At 51.9% G+C, this 19,462-nt stretch overlaps 1 protein-coding gene across 2 annotated transcripts in view, besides 2 other annotated features; it reads right to left on the minus strand.

Moving 5' to 3' along the window:
• CPSF4L (cleavage and polyadenylation specific factor 4 like) overlaps positions 1-9,582 on the minus strand; it is a 21,678-nt gene extending 12,096 nt beyond the window's left edge. The window contains exons 1-3 of one of the 2 annotated variants that reach the window (XM_011525115.3): positions 7,520-9,582; positions 6,737-6,787; positions 3,485-3,637 (exon numbers count right to left, since the gene is read on the minus strand). In XM_011525115.3, coding sequence (XP_011523417.1) covers positions 3,485-3,637; positions 6,737-6,787; positions 7,520-7,688 — 373 coding nt within the window. In that variant the 5' untranslated portion in view covers positions 7,689-9,582. The remainder of the gene's footprint in view (positions 1-3,484; positions 3,638-6,736; positions 6,788-7,519) is intronic. The other variant, NM_001129885.1, reaches the window with a different exon arrangement.
• Positions 1,375-1,504: an enhancer, noted in NCBI's record as "active region_12692". NCBI's record gives its function as "activates an Ori minimal core promoter by ATAC-STARR-seq in GM12878 lymphoblastoid cells {active_cell/tissue: GM12878}" and the evidence as "EXISTENCE:reporter gene assay evidence [ECO:0000049][PMID:35858748]".
• Positions 16,953-17,302: an enhancer, noted in NCBI's record as "active region_12693". NCBI's record gives its function as "activates an Ori minimal core promoter by ATAC-STARR-seq in GM12878 lymphoblastoid cells {active_cell/tissue: GM12878}" and the evidence as "EXISTENCE:reporter gene assay evidence [ECO:0000049][PMID:35858748]".

Raw genomic sequence — 19,462 nt, forward strand, 5'->3', positions numbered from 1 at the left:
AAGGGTGGATCCCAGTCCTATTTGCTAAGCAGGGCATGGTCTGAATATACACCTCTGGAAGAGTAAGAGTGAGGGACCCCAGATGGAGAAGGAGGCACTGGAACTGAAGGCCATTAGAGGCTAGCAGGAACAAGGAGAGCCGAGAAGGCCTGCGACGTTAAGTGGAGATATTTCCATGTCGCTGTAACTGCAGCCCCCTCTTCATCTCTACTACAAAACCCATGCTGCCTGCAGAGCCTAGGGAAGCTGTTCCCCTTGGTGGAAATGCAAAGAAAAGCAGAGCCCTGCTCAAGGTGGCACAGGTATGAAAAGAAACATTCTACAGAGTGGGCACCTGCATTATACTAAGCCTGCGTCATCATCTCTCTATGGATTAGACCAAGTCTCAGGTTTAGTTTATTTCCTACAGGGAGCCAGCCCAGTAGGCCCAGGCTACCCAAGTGTCATTATTATTATTATTATTTTGAGACAGGGTTTTACTCTGTTGCCCAGGCTGGAGTGCAATGGCGCAATCTTAGCTCACTGCAACCTCCGCCTCCCGGGTTCAAGCAATTCTCCTGCTTCAACCTCCCAAGTAGCTGGGATTACAGGCATGTGCCACCACGCATGGCTAATTTTTTGTATTTTAGTAGAGATGGGGTTTCACCATGTTGGCCAGGCTGGTCTTGAACTCCTGACCTCGTGATCCGCCCACCTTGGCTTCCCAAAGTGCTGGGATTACAGGTGTGAGCCACCACGCCCGGACCCAGGTGTCATTTTAAGAGCTCTCTTAGATTTCTCTTAGGAAGAAAGCTCTGAAGGAAGCATGGGGGAAGATTCATCCCACTTTCACTTCATTCAAGTTGAGAACTCATGAATCTTTCCAACTTCATCCTCCTTAAATGTCTACAGCTCAGTGCTTTTCAGAGCTGAAGGAGCGTCGTAGCGTCTATTCCACTGATTTTCAAATTGCTCCAGGAAGATCTATTTTATACACTGGGCCTCTACAGAGCAAGGTTTCGCCTAAAGGAAAGTACCCCTAGGCCAGGCACAGTGGCTCATGCCTGTAATCCCAGCACTTTGTGAAGCCGAGGTGGTGATCCTTAGGATCACCTGAGGTCAGGAGTTTGAGACCAGACTGGCCAACATGGTGAAACCCCATCTCTACTAAAAATACAAAAATTAGCCAGGTATGGTGGCACGTGCCTGTAGTCCCAGTTATTCAGGAGGCTGTGGTGGGAGAATCGCTTGAACCTGGGAGGCAGAGGTTGCAGTGAGTCGAGATTGTGCCATTCCATTCCAGCCTGGGCAACAGTGCGAGACTCTGTCTCCAAAAAAAGAAAAAAAAAAAAAAAAAAGGAGAGTACCCCTGATTCCTAAGAGTTTAAAACCACCATTCTTTCCCAGCCCTCTCATTTCACAGAGAACGCCAGGGCTCAGAGAGGGGAAAAGGCCACATCCATTTCATTCAGCTTCCTCACGTTCATGAAGGGTTCATTTGTTCATTGTCAGTATACAGCACTGGGCAGAGTGCTGACTCTGGGCTTGAGCTTTCTAATGAATCAAAGTGACATCACCCCCTAGGTGATGCTGGCCAGCATTTGATGGATGGAGATAACAGAAAGTCATCTACACTGGTTGCCGTTCTGCTGCGTGCACGTCTCTGCATTCCTGGCCTGGCCAGCAGGTGGCAGCAGCACCTCAGCCTTCAATCCGCCTTTCAGAGACGGGGGTACTGGGCTGAAGACCCCGGACACCAGTCCCTTCCAGTGACTCTGTCCCACTCCTACACCTCCCCAACAACACTCTGATTCCAATTAGAGTGATCATCACTTTGATATTCGAAAGCCATATGCATTCATTTACTGTAAGAACAGTAGATTACATCTTGTAATCATGGGCTTACAAGTCTGTCCTCTACTAATTGGAGTTATCTGGGGGCGGAGGGGGACCTGGTCCTGTTCCTGTATCCATGCCCAGGAGCACCTGATCCCCAAACAAACACCGAGGGCTATTGAGGGAATAACTAAGTAGGTGGCATTTTATTACTAAAGTCACAGAATGCTAGGCAGTGACCAAGGGGAACTTGGATAAACATTGTCCTTTCAGGGGAGACATGGGGGCAGCTCTCAGGAACTGCCATGCCTTTGCCTCCCAGGAGCAGGCAGGAAATGGAATATTAGCCTGGGTGGGGCTCTGACTGGCCTAGGCAATGCTTTGCCTCCTTCTCAGGTACCCAGGACCCTCCCATTGGCACTAATGAGGAGCAGCCGCTTGGGGGGCCCTGAAGCTGGCTGCAGCCACATTTGGAAGCCAAGCCTCCTGAGTCAGGGGCATCCAGGGGATTCTGCCAGCTCTCTCTTTGTAGGTCACTCTTTATGGAATACAGTTGGAAAACCACTGGACTAGATAATCCGTAAGGCTCCTTCCAGCTCCGAAAAGCTCTGAGCTGTAGAATCGTATTGTGAAGGGTGAGACCTGAAGCACATTTACAAATTCCTTTCTTAAGTAAGCGGGAAAGTGGCTGCAGCTGCCCCATAAACAGTCCCTTGATTAAAAGGACAAAGGAGGCCGGGCACCGCAGCTCACACCAATAATCCCAGCACTTAGGGAGGCCAAGGCAGGTGGATCACCTGAGGTCAGGAGTTCAAGACCAGCCTGGCCAACGTGGCAAAACCCCGTCTCTACTAAAAATATAAAAATTAGCCGGGCATGTTGGTGGGTACCTGTAATCCCAGCTACTCAGGAGGCTGAGGCAGGAGAATGGCTTGAACCCGGGAGGTGGAGATTGCAGTGAGTCAAGATCACGCCACTGCACTCCAGCCTGGGGGACAGAGCAAGACGCTGTCTCAAAAAAATATATAAAAATAAATAAAAGGACAAAGGATGCCTTGAAGCCAGAGGGAGGTAAGATGCTGGTCCAGGCTTGACCGCACAAGATGACTTTAGGTGCTAGACCTCTGAACCTCATGGATTTATGTTTACAATGACCTTTGATTTCCAACAAGTGATGCTAGTTCTCCGTTTATGGAAACAATGCAAAGTTTCTTCTAAAGTAAGAGTTAAAATAGCAAGACCGTTGGAAGAGCAGACAGTGGTGCTGGGGCTTTGAGGGTACAGCAGGCATCGTGAATGTGGCTCTGAAGGCCTGATATTCGAGAAGTTCTAGCCGGGGCCTGAGAGATGGCTCATTTGAGACATTTCAATATAGTCAGGCTGGGTGTGTGATGAACCAAGAATGGGGAGAGAAACAATCCCTTCTTCCCTTTTGGGGGTATCTGGTATGCACCTTGATCCAGGGGGCAGTAAAGGGCAGGGACTTCAGGGTGCACTTCTGCTTGTCTAGGGGTTTGGAGAACAGACACCTGAGACTCAGACAGGTCTCTCTGGCCTCCAGGGACATGTCCAGCCTCCTCTGCGTGCCCGCTCCTCTAGAAACCTTCCCATCTCACAGCCCACACTGCCACCCTCCAGGGTGAGGCACCGAGCCAGGAAGAGGCCTTACCAAACTTGGAGTAGAAGTAGCACTCAGGCATCCTGGTGAGGTCATACTGGTGCAGGAACTTGCAGTGATCACCCTTCTTGCAGAGCCCCCGGAGCCAGTGCTTGCATACCACCATCTTCTCCCCTCGGTCATGTCGGAAGGGGCAGAGTTTCCCTGGAGATGCCAGAGCACCTGGCTGGGAGGCCCCTCATCCACAGCCTGGGCCCAGCTCAGCCCTCCAGGGGATTCCCCAGGAGGGTACCTGACTCAGTCCCCAGCGGCTGTCCCCTTATCCCTTCACCTGGACCCTGTAGGGGCTGGAACTGGGAGCCGAGGCAGCATGAAGGGAGAGCTTTTTTTTTTTTTTTGAGACAGAATCTCGCTCTGTCGCCCAGGTTGGAGTGCAGCGGCGCGATCTTGGCTCACTGCAAGCTCCGCCTCCTGGGTTCACGCCATTCTCCTGCCTCCATTTCCTGAGTAGCTGGGACTACAGGCGCCAGCCACCACGCCCTGCTAATTTTTTGTATTTTTTAGTAGAGACAGGGTTTCACCGTGTTAGCCAGGATGGTCTCGATCTCCTGACCTTGTGATCTGCCCACCTCGGCCTCCCAAAGTGCTGGGATTACAGGCGTGAGCCACCGCGCCCAGCCAAGCTCTTGTTTTTGAGATGGCGTCTCGCTCTGTTGCCCATGCTAGAGAGCAATGGCACGGTCTCAGCTCACTGCAACCTCCACCTCCCAGGTTCAAGTGATCCTCCTGCCTCAGCCTCCCAAGTAGCTGGGATTACACCTGCAACTACACCCGGCTATTTTTTTTATTTTTAGTAGAGACGGGGTTTCACCATGTTGGCCAGGCTGGTCTCGAACTCCTGATCTCAGGTGATCCATCCGCCTCAGCCTCCCAAAGTGCTGGGATTACAGGCTTGAGCCACCGTGACTGGCCAGGGCAAGCTCTTCTTAAAGCACAGCTGTTCCCACTACCACACCTTTGCCCATCCTTCCCATCTGCCTGGAGTGCCATGCCCTTCTCCAGGGAAGTACCTGGGCTCAGAACAGCTGCCTCCTTTTCATTCCCAGAGTGCCTAACACCCCCTCTCGTCCTGCCAGGGAGCGGGGCCAGGCTTTCCAGCCCAGAATCCCCACACCCAGCCCAGCCCCTGGCACATAGTAAGTGCTCAGTAAGGGTGTGTTGAATTCCCATCTTTAAAAACATCAAATGTTATGCTTCCCGATTCCAGAGACCTAACAGGGTGACAGAAGAGCCAACTTTGTAATGATTTATAAGGAATATTCCATGGAAATGTTACATTTAACTGCTTTATCATCTTCACTCAAGTCTGCCTTGCTATTAGCAGGAAGGACACCCAGTTCCTAAGTTTCTTTAATTTATTTATTTATTTGAGACAGGATCTTAGTCTGTTGCCCAGGCTGGAGTGCAATGGCAAAGTCATGGCTTACTGTAGCCTCAACCTCCTAGACTCAGGAGTTCTCCCATCTCAGCCTCCCGAGTAGCTGGGACTACAGGCATGCACCACCACACTGAGCTAATTTTTTTATTTTTTGTAGAGACAGGGCTTTGCCATGTCATCCAGGCTGGCAGTTCCTGAGTTTCTAAGCAGGTCCAGCCTCATGCCTGGCCAGTTCTCTGACATAATTTGGGGGCTAGGGGAGGTGTTCTTTCCATTTTTCCTTTTTTAAAAAAAAAAAATTATGTTTTGTAGAGATGGGGTCTCGCTATGTTGCCCAGGCTGGTCTTGAGCGATTCTCCAGCCTCTGCCTCTCAAAGTGCTGGAATTACAAGTGTGAGCCTACTCCCCCGGCCAAGGTGCTCTTTTTAAATACCCCTAACCTCCACCCCTGGCTATTGACTTGCTTGGTTCTGACCTTCCACCATAATAGCTTTCTTTCTTTGCAGAAGGGTGTTGCTAGGAACCACTGCTCTAGGGACTGGTTGGGCTGAGCTGAGGAGATGCCACTCAGTCCACATTGAGCCTGCAGGGTCCTGGGTGCACAAGGCCTTGGGCGACCAGTGATCCCATTTCCCTTCTCCCTGTATGGTCTAGGGCTGGCCCCAAGACAAACAAGGCAGGTGGGCGAACATGGCCCCAGGTCCTCCTTTCCTGGTCCCCTCCAGCCCCCCAGCTTCCAGGGACAGACTCATTTGGATCAGAAAACATGTCCTAAACTCTCACACCAGTGAGATTTCTTAACCTAAATGTATAGGCAAGCGGGAGGAAGACAGGGAAACCCTAAAACTGGAAGCCAGTTTTTTTTGGCAATTGTATATTTCTGTTGAAAGAGCCTCTACATGAGCCATGAGCCAGAAGAAAAGTTGAAAACTCTTATATTTGAATCAGGCCTTCCCAGAATGGCTGCATTTGGGGAGAGGGGCCTAGGAAGACAGTATTGACCCAAAGTCAGGGCAGGAGAGAAGTGGAGGATGCTTTTTGATAGCATTTCAAAGATGGTGGCAGGTGCTACCTCAGGGCATAGGGAATGGATGAGACAATTGACCAGTTTACAAACTGAGTCAGAGCAGGGGACTGGGGGAGAAGGATGCCTCTCTTCTAGCTGGGAGGAAATCAAGAAAAACATTAAGAAGCTGGAGCCTCCTGGGAATGCACAGGCCAAAGCTCAGACACACGCCCATCCCAGCAAGGCAGAAAGAAAAAAATACCCCTTTCCAGGCAGCCTGGTTACCCTGATGCGAACTGCAAACTATGAAGACTGCTGCTGAGGCGGGAAAATCTTAGGGGAGGGGCAGGCTGCTCGGTGGATCCAACCACTTATCCTTTGTCTACCTGTAAGTCTAAAATTCTGCTCCATGGCCGGGCATGGTGGCTCACGCCTGTAATCCCAGCACTTTGGGAGGCCCAGGCAGGTGGATCACCTGAGGTGAGGAGTTTGAGACCCGCCTGGCCAACATGACAAAACTCCATCTCTACTAAAAATGCAAAAATTAGCCGGGCTTGGTGGCATGCACCTGTAGTTCCAGTTACTCGGGAGGCTGAGGAAGGAGAATCGCTTGAACCCAGGAGGCAGAGGTTGCAGTGAGTTGAGATCACGCCAGATCACTCTAGCCTGGGCAACAGAGCGAGATTCCATCTAAAAATAAATAAATAAAATAAAAATAAAATTCCGTTCCATCCCAATTTTCCCTCCCCAGGTGCAAATTCGACACCCTATCCCAGGCCAGGCAGAGCCCCTGCTGGGTGTAGCTCAGACAGACCCTACACTCACCCAGCTTGGGGCCCAGGCCTGTCTGCTAACTCACCTTTCTCACAGAGCCCTTTAGTGAAGAAGTTGCACACAGCTGAGGCCGACTCTGGAAGGAGAAGAGGGAACGGAGAAGGTAGCTTCCCCAGAGGCTGCAGCTGTTCCGGAAGCCTCCACCTCCATCGGCATGTCCCACCTAGACCTCCCCCAGGCTCTGGCCTATGGGATCCCAAATCTGGGCCCTGTAGAGGTTAACCTGCAGAGCCAGCCAGCAGACCTCAACCCTTAACCCCCCAACTCTGAAACAGAGGAGCTCGAGGGGCTCAAGCCTGGCCCAGGAGCTCGGGAGGCCAGTGTGGCTTCTCTCAATTCACCGTCTCTCTGTGCCTCTCTTTCTCAGTCTGGAAAATGGGTTGCCCCGAAGCCACAGAAGAGAGAGACAGAGAAGGGGCGGTCGCATCAGGGAGTTGAGCAGAGAGGCCTGTAGAGAAGGAAGGGGGAGGGAGGCTGGGCGTGGTGGCTCATGCCTGTAATCCCAGCACTTTGGGAGGCCAAGGCGGGCGGATCACGAGGTCAGGAGATTGAGACCATCCTGGCTAACATGGTGAAACCCGGTCTCTACTAAAAATACAAAAAATCAGCTGGGCGTGGTGGCGGGCGCCTGTAGTCCCAGCTCCTCGGGAGGCTGAGGCAGGAGAATGGCGTGAACCCAGGAGGCAGAGCTTGCAATGAGCCGAGATTGTGCCACTACACTCCAGCCTGGGCTACAGAGCGAGACTCCGTCTCAAAGAAAAAAAAACAGAGAAGGTAGGGGAGGGAAAGTGGCCCCACCCTCACTCACTGTCCATGCCCTGGAAAGGCAGGAGCCCAGTGCCCTTCTGCATCTCGACATCCTTCTCGAAGGCAAAGGTGAACCGCTCTAGCCCCGCAATGACCTCTTGCATCTTCCGTCTCCTGCTGGGGCTGCGGAAGCTGCTGGAACCCAGGCAGGTGGGCCCAATATAGCTCATCAGAGGCCCTTAAGGGGCCAGCGCCCAATGCCTCCCCCTTCACCCCAGGGTGCCAGTGGCCAGGTGACTGCAGGGGACGCTCCAGCCTGGGCTGTACAGGAGCAGGGCCCAGCTGCCTCACCCGGCCCACCCAGTGCAGGGGCAGACACCCCAGGGCCCCTCACCCCCACACTGTGTACACAAGGCTCACTCGGATAGGGAGGGATTCGCAGAGCCCCACAAACTGCTTATCTTTGCATGTTACCGAACACAAACGTGGCGTGCACACAGACATTACCAAACCTGGGCTCATACTTTGTCCATGAAGACACAGCCACAGGTTAGCAAAGAGTTGCACAAACCAACCGCAGCAAGGCTGTTATTCTGCCAGAGCTGGGGGTGGTGGGGGTTTGCAGAGGGAGGGAGCCGTCCCACCTCCCCGCTTCTTCCCATGAGGGAAGGGGTCTCCCTCTGGGGCCCCTGACACCCCTTTTCTGGCCTGAGTGACAAGCCCCGAGTGAGCTCTTCGTGGGAGACAGGGAAAAAGGAATGAAGAGGAGAGGAACTGAAACAGTTGGATGAATGGCGCTTTGTTTACCTCGCACACAATCGCCAGCTTGGCGGGAGGGCGGAACCGACCAAGGCCAGGGCGGCCTCCCAGCCAGGATTCCACAGGGCCACCCAGTGCCACCCCACCCCTGAGAAAGTGCTTTATAAATGAAATCTCTATGCAAATGTTGTTTTATTATTATTACACCACCCCTGCCTGCAGGGCTGGGGACATCTGACAATGCTTTCAAAGGAGCATGTTAGGGCTCTAATTAGACCAGGTTCCCCCTCCCCCTGCTCTGGCCCCAAACTGGCCTTGCCTCTAACTAGAGCTGCTGTTCTCAGTCACATTGGCTTTTAATGCCCATAGAACCAGAACCCATACGCCCTCCTTTCTGGGTGCCCAAACCCAGCAGGGAGAGGTGGGCAGCCCCGCAGGCTCTCAGCTGGGCCAACATGAACTAGCCTGCTGGCTGTTGTTCCCCGTGGCTGTTGCTCCTAGATCTGTTCTTTTGAACTCCAGATCAGAAAAGAAAATAGCTGGAGAGATAGACACCTGGAGCCGAGGTGGGACTGGGAGGAGCAGGGACGAGATCCAAGAGTTTCCAGAAGCTCAGGCCTCTGACTGCATCCTGGGAGAGGCAGAGGGACCCAGCTCCAGGGCTAGAGGGTGGGGCCAAGGGGGTCCCTGGGGTAGAAACCCTGGCTTCTCTTGGCCTTAGTTGTATGCGTTGATTAGTAGTCCCAAGAATGCATTCATCTGTCAACACAGGCTCATTAAAGGCTCACAGAAGCCTGGCAGCGCAGGCAGGACTGATGAGGGAATCAAAGCCCAGGGAGGCCAAGACCACATGGTTTGGGAGGCGCTATGGATGGGGTTCACATCTAGGTCTCTTGATGACTTCCTTCCCTAAACATCCCTGAGCATCTCTGCACTAGGGCCACGTCCCTATCCTCAGAGATGGCCCCATCAAGGAGGGGACATTAGCCATTCACACAATAATGCGATGGAGGCATGAGGGGCCCAGCAGGGCAGGAAGGGGTAGCAGGCAGAGCTCTCTCAATGGAGAGTCATGATGATGGGGAGAGAATGTTCTGGAAGAAGGCCAGCAGTATGAAGGTTGGGGCATGGAGCAATGTGAAGGCTGAGGAGGCGCTCAAGGGTTTGGTTTGGCAGAAGCGGGGGTAAAGAGGTGGAATGGGGGCAATGAGGCTTAAGAGCTGAGAAGGGACCCAACTCTGGGGGGCCTGCTGGGGCCAGCTTTGGGGGGAAGTGATCGTGAAGGCAGCAGAGCCACCACAGGGCTCTGAGAACTGTACATGGCTCTCTGAGGGATGGTCGGGGGAAGACTGGACAGGGGCTGCTTAGAGGATGAATTTTTTTTTTTTTTTTTTTTTTGAGACTGAGTCTTGCTCTATTGACCAGGCTGGAGTGCAGTGGCGCGATCTCGGCTCACTGCAACCTCTGCCTCCCAGGTTCAAGCAATTCTCCTGCCTCAGCCTCCTGAGTAGCTGAGATTACAGGCCCACACCACCACACCTGGCTAATTTTTGTACTTTTAGTAGAGACAGGGTTTCGCCATATTGGCCAGGCTGGTCTCGAACTCCTGACCTCAGGTGATCTGCCTGCCTCATCCTCCCAAAGTGCTAGGATTACAGGCATGAGCCACCGTGCCCAGCCTGGGGATGATTTTTTAAAATCATGAGAGCCCTGGGGATATAGCCCAGAGATCTTTCTGCTACTCTGGTGGCCTGCAAGAGTTAATTGATGAGGGATGAACATGAAGGAGACTCCTGGTTAAGACTCCTCCCTCCAGCACCCCAGCTTCTCTGCTCCTCCACCAGGGGCTTCCCATCCCACTTCTAGGTGCCTGGCCAGCAGAGGTGTGTGGTGGGTGTCACATGGATGAAATCCCTTCTCCCAGTGGCTCATCATTAGTTTGGCACACAAACAACGGGGCTTGCATTCATAGTTTTTGCTTATTCAAAATACCTTCTGCAGTAAATTGAACTGGCTACCCAAAAAGTCTAGGTCTAGGCCAGGTGCAGTGGCTCACGCCTGTAATCCCAGCATTTTCAGAGGCCAAGGCAGGAGGATCACCTGAGCCCAGGAGTGCAAGACCAGCCTGGGCAACAAAGCAGGACTCCCATCTCTACAAAAAATTAAAAAATTATTAGGTGGGCATGGTGGCACATGTCTGTAGTTCCAGCTACTTGGGAGGCTGAGGCAGGAGGATTGCTTGAGTCCAGGAGGTTGAGGCTGCAGTAAGCCATGATTGCACCACTGCACTCCAGCCTGGGTGACAGAGCAAGACCCTTTCTTCAAAGGAAAAAAAAAAAAAAGGCCAGGCATGTTGGCTCACTCACGTCTGTAATCCCAGCACTTTGGGAGTCCAAGGTGGGTGGATCAACTGAGGTCAGGAGTTCAAGAGCAGCCTGGCCAACATGGTGAAACCCCGTCTCTATTAAAAATACAAAAAATTGGCTGGGCGCGGTGGCTCACGCCTGTAATCCCAGCACTTCGGGAAGCCGAGGTGGGCGGATCATCTGAGGTTGGGAGTTCGAGACCAGTCTGATCAACATGGAGAAACCCCGTCTCTACTAAAAATACAAAATTAGCCAGGCGTGGTGGCGCACACCTGTAATCCCAGCTACTTGGGAGGCTGAGGCAGGAGAATCGCTGGAACCCAGGAGGTAAAGGTTGTGGTGAGCCGAGATCGCGCCATTGCACTCCAGCCTGGGCAACAAGAGCGAAACTCTGTCTCAAAAACAAACAAACAAACAAACAAACAAACAAACAAAAATTAGCAGGGCATGGTGGCAAGCACCTGTGGTCCCATCTACTTGGGAGGCTAAGTCAGGAGAATCGCTTGAACCCAGGAGGCGGAGGTTGCAGAGAGCCAAGATTGCACCACTGCACTCCAGCCTGAGCAACAGAGCTAGACTCCATCTCAAAAAAAAAAAATAAAAATAAAAATAATAAAAATAAAAAATAAAAAAAATCAAAGTCTTAACCCCTGGTACCTGTGAACATGAACTTCTTTAGAAGCAGGGTCTTTGCAGGTGTCATTCGGGTAAGGATCTCAAGATGGGACATCCTGGAATTAGGATGATTCCTAAACCGAGTAACTGGTGTGATTATGAGAGAAAGGAGAGGGATAATTGAGACACAGGCACAGAGGGGACACAGAGAAGGCCATGGGGAGACAGAGGTGGAGACTGGGGTGACCCAGCTTCCGTGGATGGCCAAAGATTGCCATCTGCACCAGAAGCCAGGAGAGAGATGTGGGACAGACTCTCCCTCAGAGCCTCCAGAAGGAACCAACCCTGCCTATATCTTGACCTCAGGCTTCCAGCATCCAGAATGTGAGAGAATGAATTCCTATTGTATTCAGCCACCTTTGTGGTAATTTGTGACAGCAGCTCTAGGAAATGAATAGACCTTCTCACTTGGCATTCAGATTCAAGGCTGGGCGCGGTGGCTCATGCCTGTAATCCTAACCCTTTGGGAGGCCAAGGCAGGAAGATCACTGGAGCCCAGGAGTTCGAGACCAGTCTGGGCAACATGGTGAGATTCCATCTCTACAAAAAATTTAAAAATTAGCTAATCATGGTGGCGCATGCCTGTAGTCCCAGCTGCTACTCAGGAGGCTGAAGCAAGAGGGTCCCTCGAGCCCGGGAGGTCAAGGCTATAGTGAGCCATGATTGCACCACTGCACTCCAGCCTGGGTGACAAAGTAAGACTCTGTCCCAACAGAAAGAAAGAAAGAAATTTGGTTTGGGAAGATCCCACCTTTTTTTTTTTTTTTTTTTTTTTGGCTGAGTTTTGCTCTTGTTGCCCAGGCTGGAGTGCAATGGCGCGATCTTGGCTCACCGCAACCTCCGCCTCCCAGGTTCAAACGATTCTCCTGCCTCAGCCCCTCGAGCAGCTGGGATTACAGGCATGCGCCACCACGACTAGCTAATTTTGTATTTTTAGTAGAAACGGGGTTTCTCTATGATGATAAGGCTGGTCTCGAACTCCCGACCGCAGGTGATCTGCCCGCCTTGGCCTCCCAAAGTGCTGAGTTTACAGGTGTGAGCCACTGTGCCTGGCCGACCTCACCCCTTTTACAGATGAGCAAACAGACACCCAGAGAAGTTGAGTGATTGTTAAGCTTTGCTGAGGCCGGGGGAGCTGCCCCACCTCATGGCTCTTGAAGCCAACGAGTGTCCCCATCGTACAACAACAAAAAGCAGTGCCCCAGCCCTGGGATGTCCCCTCTGAAACCTCACAGCCCCCTCTTCTGTGCCCTGGAGCTTATCCCTAGCCCTTGTGTTTCCGTTTATTAATTGATTCATGGTGCTAAGTGGACACTCAAATCGCTGTACAAACAGAAGTGTGAATTTTTAATCACCATCATTATGAGGCTCTCATTTAGCTCGGGCTGCAAATTTCTGAATCGTCATCATCCAGCTCCTTCCCCTTTATTAATGCTCTGCTCTGAAAAGCGGGGGTGGAGGTGGGGGGAGCTTTGGAATTCTCTGGCTGCAGGGCCTGGCAAGGTCATTCATGCCCATGCCCCCGGCCTGGGATCAACGGCAGCCAGTGCTTTGCTGGACAGATCGTGGCCATGACCACCTTTCTTTTATCTGGAGTACCTGCCTTCCTCTCCACGGAGCGCCCTGCCTTTATGGCGACAGTGCAGACAGGGGCGTCAGGCAGGTCAGGGTTCAAATCCAGCCTTTGTCAGCTACCAGTCTACATCCTGGGTCAGGCATTTAATCGCCTCTCTGAACCCCAGATTCTGCATTAGTAAAATGGGACCAATGCACACCATGTCCCTGGAGGACTGAGGATCAGTGAAAGTACACGTGGTTGCCTGTCACAGGAGTGGTTTTTGTTGTTGTTGTTTTATTTTTGAGACAGAGTCTTGCTCTGTCCCCCAGGCTGGAGTACAGTGGCGAAATCTCAGCTCACTGCAACCTCCGCCTCCCAGGTTCAAGCGATTCTCCTGCTTCAGCCTCCTAAGTAGCTGGGATTACAGGCGCCTGCCACCATGCCTGGCTACTTTTTTTATTTTTAGTAGAGACAGGGTTTCACCATGTTGGCCAGGCCGGTCTCGAACTCCTGACCTCAAGTGATCCGCCCACCTCGGCCTCCCAAAGTGCTGGGATTAAAGGCATGAGCCACTGCGCTTGGACCTATCCCTTCTTAAAATGCATTATTCCTAAGGGCCCCTGGTAAAAGATGCCATGGGGGAAGGGGTCCCATGATGCTTCAGGTGCTGCTGGGGGCTACTGTAAGATCCGGCAGTGATGGCCTGGCAGCCGAATAGCCACGGGGTTGGGAGGGGCTGGAGGTCAGGAGGGGTGCCCCTCACCCGCCGCTGCTGCTGCTCAGTCCCAGGGACAATGAGCCAGTGTTCCCTGCTCTCTCCACCGCCCTTTGTGCCCCAAGAATGCCACTTGGAGGGGACAGCTGTTGGCTTCACAGTGGCCACTTGAAGTGCAGGGCAGGGAGGCCCTGCAGCCAGGATGGTCCTGCTCTGTCATTGTGCAGGAACTCAGTCTCTAGGAGTCCGTCAGTTCTGACACCTGCACCCAGGGAAAGACATCTACTTCCCCTTGGGGCTTGGAAATAGCCACAGGACTAATAAACCACCCACACTTCTCATTCAAGGCTCCTCCCATTCTCAAGGTAAACTTCCAAGCTGCTCTACCCGTTTTATAGGTAAGGAAATCAAGGCCCAGAAGTGAAACCACTGCCTAAGCTTATATAGCCAGTAGATGTGGGAATGGGGGCCTAGAATCCAACCTTTGCTACCAGTTACTAGGACTTAATTGGTTTAGGTTCACTGTTTACGTTGTATTCTCTCTAATTCCCACAAAACCTTGCAAAGAGAGCTATTATTCTTTCTCTTCTACAACTGAAAAAAGCTGAGGCTAAAGGCTTAGATGTGCTTCCTAAAGACCACAAGCTCAGGTCTGCTTGGCCCCAAAGCCAGCTCCTTCCAGCCTACCAAGCTAAGCGTGGGAGACGGCTCCACCTCCCCTGGGCTGGGAAGACCACCCAGACCCCTGAGGCCCAAGACAGCTACTGAGCCTTTGCTTGTTCCTGAGTAGGTAGGATGCAGATTCTACTTTTGGTCCAAATATCAAGGAAATAGGACATTTTGGGCTTAGGGAGTCAGCCCTGCTCAAAGGGGTGTGCAGATAGCATTCCCTGTCCACTGTTGCCGCGACGTTTCTTCACTTGGTCTTCAGGTCATCCTCCGCCCTGCCTGGGGTTCTGTGCCCAGAGCCTCTCCAGGCTGAGCAGAGGCTGCCCAAAGCCTCCCTGGGCTCAGAGGGAAACTCCACAGGCTTCAGCCCCTGCCCCCCATGACCTGTGAGAAAGGAGCCTGTCACCCACAGCTGCAGGCCCGGCCTGTCCGCAAAGCCGAAGTGGCAGAGGTGGCAGGTGGGGCAGCTTGGGTCACACTCTGGTCTCCTCCTCCTTAACCACAGTCCTCTGGCTTCCCACGTCTGGCTCTTACCCTCCCTCCTCTGGGGAGCTATTCACTCACTCACTCACTCATTCACTTACTCATTCATCCACTCACTCATTCACTCACTTATTCACTCTCACTCATTTATTCACTCACTCACCTATTCACTTATTCACTCACTCTTTCACTCACTCACTCATTTATTCACTCATTCACTCACTCATTCACCCATTTGCTCATTCACTCACTTGTTCACTCATTCACTCACTCATTCACCCATTCACTCACTCATTCACTCACTCGTTCACTCATTCACTCACTCATTCACCCATTCACTCACTCATTCACTCACTCACTCATTCACTCATTCATTCACTCACCCACTTACTCATTCACTCATTCATTCACCCATTCACTCATTCACTCACTCACTCATTCACTCACTCACCCACTTACTCATTCACTCACTCACTCATTCACTCACTCATTCACTCACCCACTCACTCATTCTCTCACTCATTCACTCATTTATTCACTCACCCACTTACTCACTCACTCATTCACTCACTCATTCTCTCATTCACCCACTCATTCTCTCATTCACTCACTCATCCACTCACTCACTCATTCCCTCACTCATTCACTCACTTATTCATCCATTCACCCACTTGTTCACTCATTCACCCACTCATTCACTCAGTCACTCACTCATTCACTCACTCACTCACTCACTCACTCATTCACTCACTCACTCGCTCAAAAGTATTTTTTAACTGCTGCCGTCTCTGGAAGACACAGAACAAACAAGACACAGCCACTTGCCTAGGAGATTGCACTCGGTAGAATAATGTGCTCCCATCCAAAGATGCCCACATCCTAATTTCCAGAAACTGTGGGTGTGTTACCTTACAAGGCAAAAGGGACCTTGCTGATGCAATTAAGTTAAGAATCTTGAGATGGGAAGATTATTCTGGATTATCTGAGTGGGCCCAATAGCACCACAAAGATCCTTATGAGGAGGCAGGGTCAGAGGAAGGGAGAGACACAGAGGAAGAGAGGAAAAAACAGAGAGAGATGTGAAGATGCTGTACTGCTGGCTTTGAAGCTGGAGGAAGGGGCCATGAGCCAAGGAATGCGGGTGGCCTCTAGAAGTAGAAAAGACAGATTCTGCCCTCAAACCTGCAGGAGGAACACAGACCTACCCACATCTTGATTTTAGCTCAGTGAAAGCCATCTGGGCCTTCTGACCTTTAAAAATGTGAGATATTACATTTGTGGGCCAGGCATGGTGGCTCATGCCTATAATCCTAGGACTTTGGGAGGTGGAGGAGGGTGGATTGCTTGAGCTCAGGAGTTTGAGACCAGCCTGGGCAACATAATGAGACCCCATCTCTACAAAAATTAGCTGGACGTGGTGGCCTGCACCTGTAGTCCCAACTACTCAAGAGGCTGAGGTGAGAGGTTGGCTTGGACCCAGGAGAAGGAGGTCGCAGCGAGCTGAGATTGAACCACTGCACTCCAGCCTGGCGACAGAGCCAGACCCTGTCTCAAAAAAAAAAAAAAAGTGCTGTTTGTTTGTTTGTTTGTTTGTTTGTTTTTTTGAGACGGAGTCTCACTCTGTCGCCCAGGCTGGAGTGCAGTGGCGCAATCTTGGCTCACTGCAAGGGCTGCCTCCCGGGTTCACGCCATTCTCCTGCCTCAGCCTCCCGAGTAGCTGGAACTACAGGCGCCCGCCACCGCGCCTGGCTAATTTTTTGTATTTTTTAGTAGAGATGGGATTTCACCGTGGTCTCGATCTCTGATCTCCTGACCTCGTGATCTGCCTCCCAAAGTGCTGGGATTACAGGCGTGAGCCACCATGCCTGGCCAAAAAAGTACAGTTTTAAGCTACCAGATTTGTGGCAATTTGTGTTTTCTATTTGTTTGTTTTGTTTTGAGACAGAGTTTCACTCTGTCACCAGGGCAGGAGTGCAGTGGTGCCATCTCAGCTCACTGCAACCTCCACCTCCTGGGTTCAAGTGATTCTTGCGCCTCAGCCACCTGAGTAGCTGGGATGACAGGCATGCACCACCACACCTGGCTAATTTTTGTATTGTTTTATAGTAGAGACGGGATCATTTCCATGTTGGATAGGCTGGTCTTGAACTCCTGATCTCAAGTGATCTGCCCACCTCAGCCTCCCAAAGTGCTGGGATTCCAGGCATGAGCCACTGTACCCGGCCAATTTGTGGTAATTTGTTACAGCAACAATAAGGAAACTAGTATAGAGAGGAACGTAACCAATAAGCAGGCAGTGACATCAGAAGGCACTGGCGGAGCTACTACAAGGCTGCTGAGCTCTCACTTAGGTGTTGCAGGAAAGCTTCTGGGAGGAAGTGAAACAAAGGCATAGACATGTAGAGTCTTGTCAAGGCAGAAGGGGGACAATGGTTCCAGCCGCCGCCATGCGTTTAGGAAACCACTTCTGGTTCTATAGGATCAGATCTGGCACACTGGCTGCTGGGGGTGGCTCGGGGGACTGGGAGGTCCAGGCTTGCGAAGGGCCTCAAACCTGGGACCTTGAGGAGTCACTGAAAGCCCACTTTACGATGTTGTTGAAATTTGCATTTTTACTTTATTTTTTATTTTTGAGATGGAGTCTCACTCTCTCACCCAGGCTGGAGTGTGGTGGTGCAGTCTTGCTCATTGCAACCTCCACCTCCTGGGTTCAAGCGATTCTCCTGCCTAGCCTCCTGAGTAGCTGGAATTATGGGTGTGCTCCAGTACGCCCGGCTAATTTTTGTATTTGTAGCAGAGACAAGGTTTCACCGTGTTGGCCAGGCTGGTCTCAAACTCCTGGCCTCAAGTGATCCTCTTGCCTCGGCCTCCCAAAGGGCTGGGATTACAAAGGTCTGGAATTACTCCAGCGCCGTGAGCCACTGCACTGGTCGAGATTTGCATTTTAGAAAGAGCCCTCTGGCTGCAAAGTCCTGGGGCCACTCTCTAGAGAAGGCATGAAAGAAGGACATCCGGCAGCCAACTGCCAGAATCTAGAATTGGCTGAAAAGCAGCTCCAGGCCGGGCGCGGTGGCTCACACCTGTAATCCCAGCACTTTGGGAGGCTGAGGCTGGTGGATCACCTTGAAGTCAGGAGTTTGTGACCAGCCTGGCCTACATGGTGAAACCCCATCTCTACTAAAAATACAAAAATTAGCCAGGTGTGGTAGTGGGCGCCTGTAATCCCAGCTACTTGGGAGGCTGAGGCAGGAGAATCACTTGAACCTGGGAGGTGGGGGTTGCAATGAGCCAAGATCGTGCCATTGTACTCCAGCCTGAGCCACAGAGGGAGACTCCGTCTCAAAAAAAGAAAGAAAGAAGTGGCCGGGCGCGGTGGCTCACGCCTGTAATCCCAGCACTTTTGGAGGCCAAGGCAAGTGGATCACCTGAGGTCAGGAGTTCGAGAACAGCCTGACCAACATGGTGAAACCCCGTCTCTGCTAAAAATACAAAAATGAGCCAGGCGTGGTGGCACATGCCTGTAATCCCAGCTACTTGGGAGGCTGAGGCAGGAGAATCGGTCGAACCCGGGAGGTGGAGGTTGCAGTGAGCTGAGATTGTGCCATTGTACTCCAGCCACAGCAACGAGAGCAAAACTCCATCCCAAAAGAAAAAAAAAAGGTAAAGCAGCTCCAAGAAAGGAGGCGTCTTTCCCCAGTCCTGCTTTATTCTGTACTTTCTAAAACAGGGAAAATGCAGAAGGTCAAGATAAACCACAATTATCAACAAAGTTTTAATATTTATTCCTATGCCCTAACGGATGGTCCTGTGTTCCCCTGGGGACGCATAACCCCCTACCCCCATGGGGAGGAGGAGAGAGGGAAGTTTCTGTAGAGCAGGGACCCGCCCGCTGACTGTGGACACTGTGTTGGATTAATTCTCCCAGCCGTGGCCCAGGGTGCTCACTTTGATGGATGGTGGGTCCAGGGTCACAAGTTTGATCTGTCTTTGGGTCAACTGAGTCTGGAAGAAAAACTCTATTTTCATCACCATAGACTGCCCTCTGGTCTGTTATCTCTAAATAATTATTGGGTCATGAGGCAGACAGAGAGTAAGATGGAAAAACCCTCCAGGCCCCGACTATTGACAAAGAGTCGATTGTACCCACTTTGTGTACAAAGCCCAGTGAGTGTGGGCAGGGGGAGCGGGAGGCAAAGCGCGGGCCCCACTCACTCCCCGCCTGGATAAACTGCCCTGACCCTGGAGGGGGTGCTGGAGGGAGACTCAGTAGAGCATGGCAGACCAAGGCCACCCCACCACCAACATCCTGACCTTCCCTCCGGTCGGGGGCTCATCAGACTCGGCGCTGTCTTTTTTAAATTTATTTATTTTTTTTATTGAGACGGAGTCTCTGTCTGTCACCCGGGCTGGAGTGCAGCGGCGCCATCTCGGCTCACTGCAAGCTCCGCCTCCCGGGTTCATGCCATTCTCCTGCCTCAGCCTCCCAAGTAGCTGGGACTACAGGCGCCTGCCACCATGACCGGCTAATTTTTTGTATTTTTAGTAGAGACAGGGTTTCACCATGTTAGCCAGGATGGTCTTGATCTCCTGACCTCGTCATCCGCCCGACTCAGCCTCTCAAAGTGCTGGGATTACAGGCGTGAGCCACTGCGCCTGGCCGCTGACTTAGCGCTGTCTTTGCTCTCTCCTTTTGGTGAGGCTTTCAATTCCATGTTCTCATTTGACGGCTCCCACTCCTGGATGTGTTTTCTGCAGACAAAGAGACAGTTGCTCCTTGTC

The sequence above is a fragment of the Homo sapiens genome, chromosome 17, assembly GCF_000001405.40.
Source record: "Homo sapiens chromosome 17, GRCh38.p14 Primary Assembly".
Taxonomy (NCBI): Eukaryota; Metazoa; Chordata; class Mammalia; order Primates; family Hominidae; genus Homo; species Homo sapiens.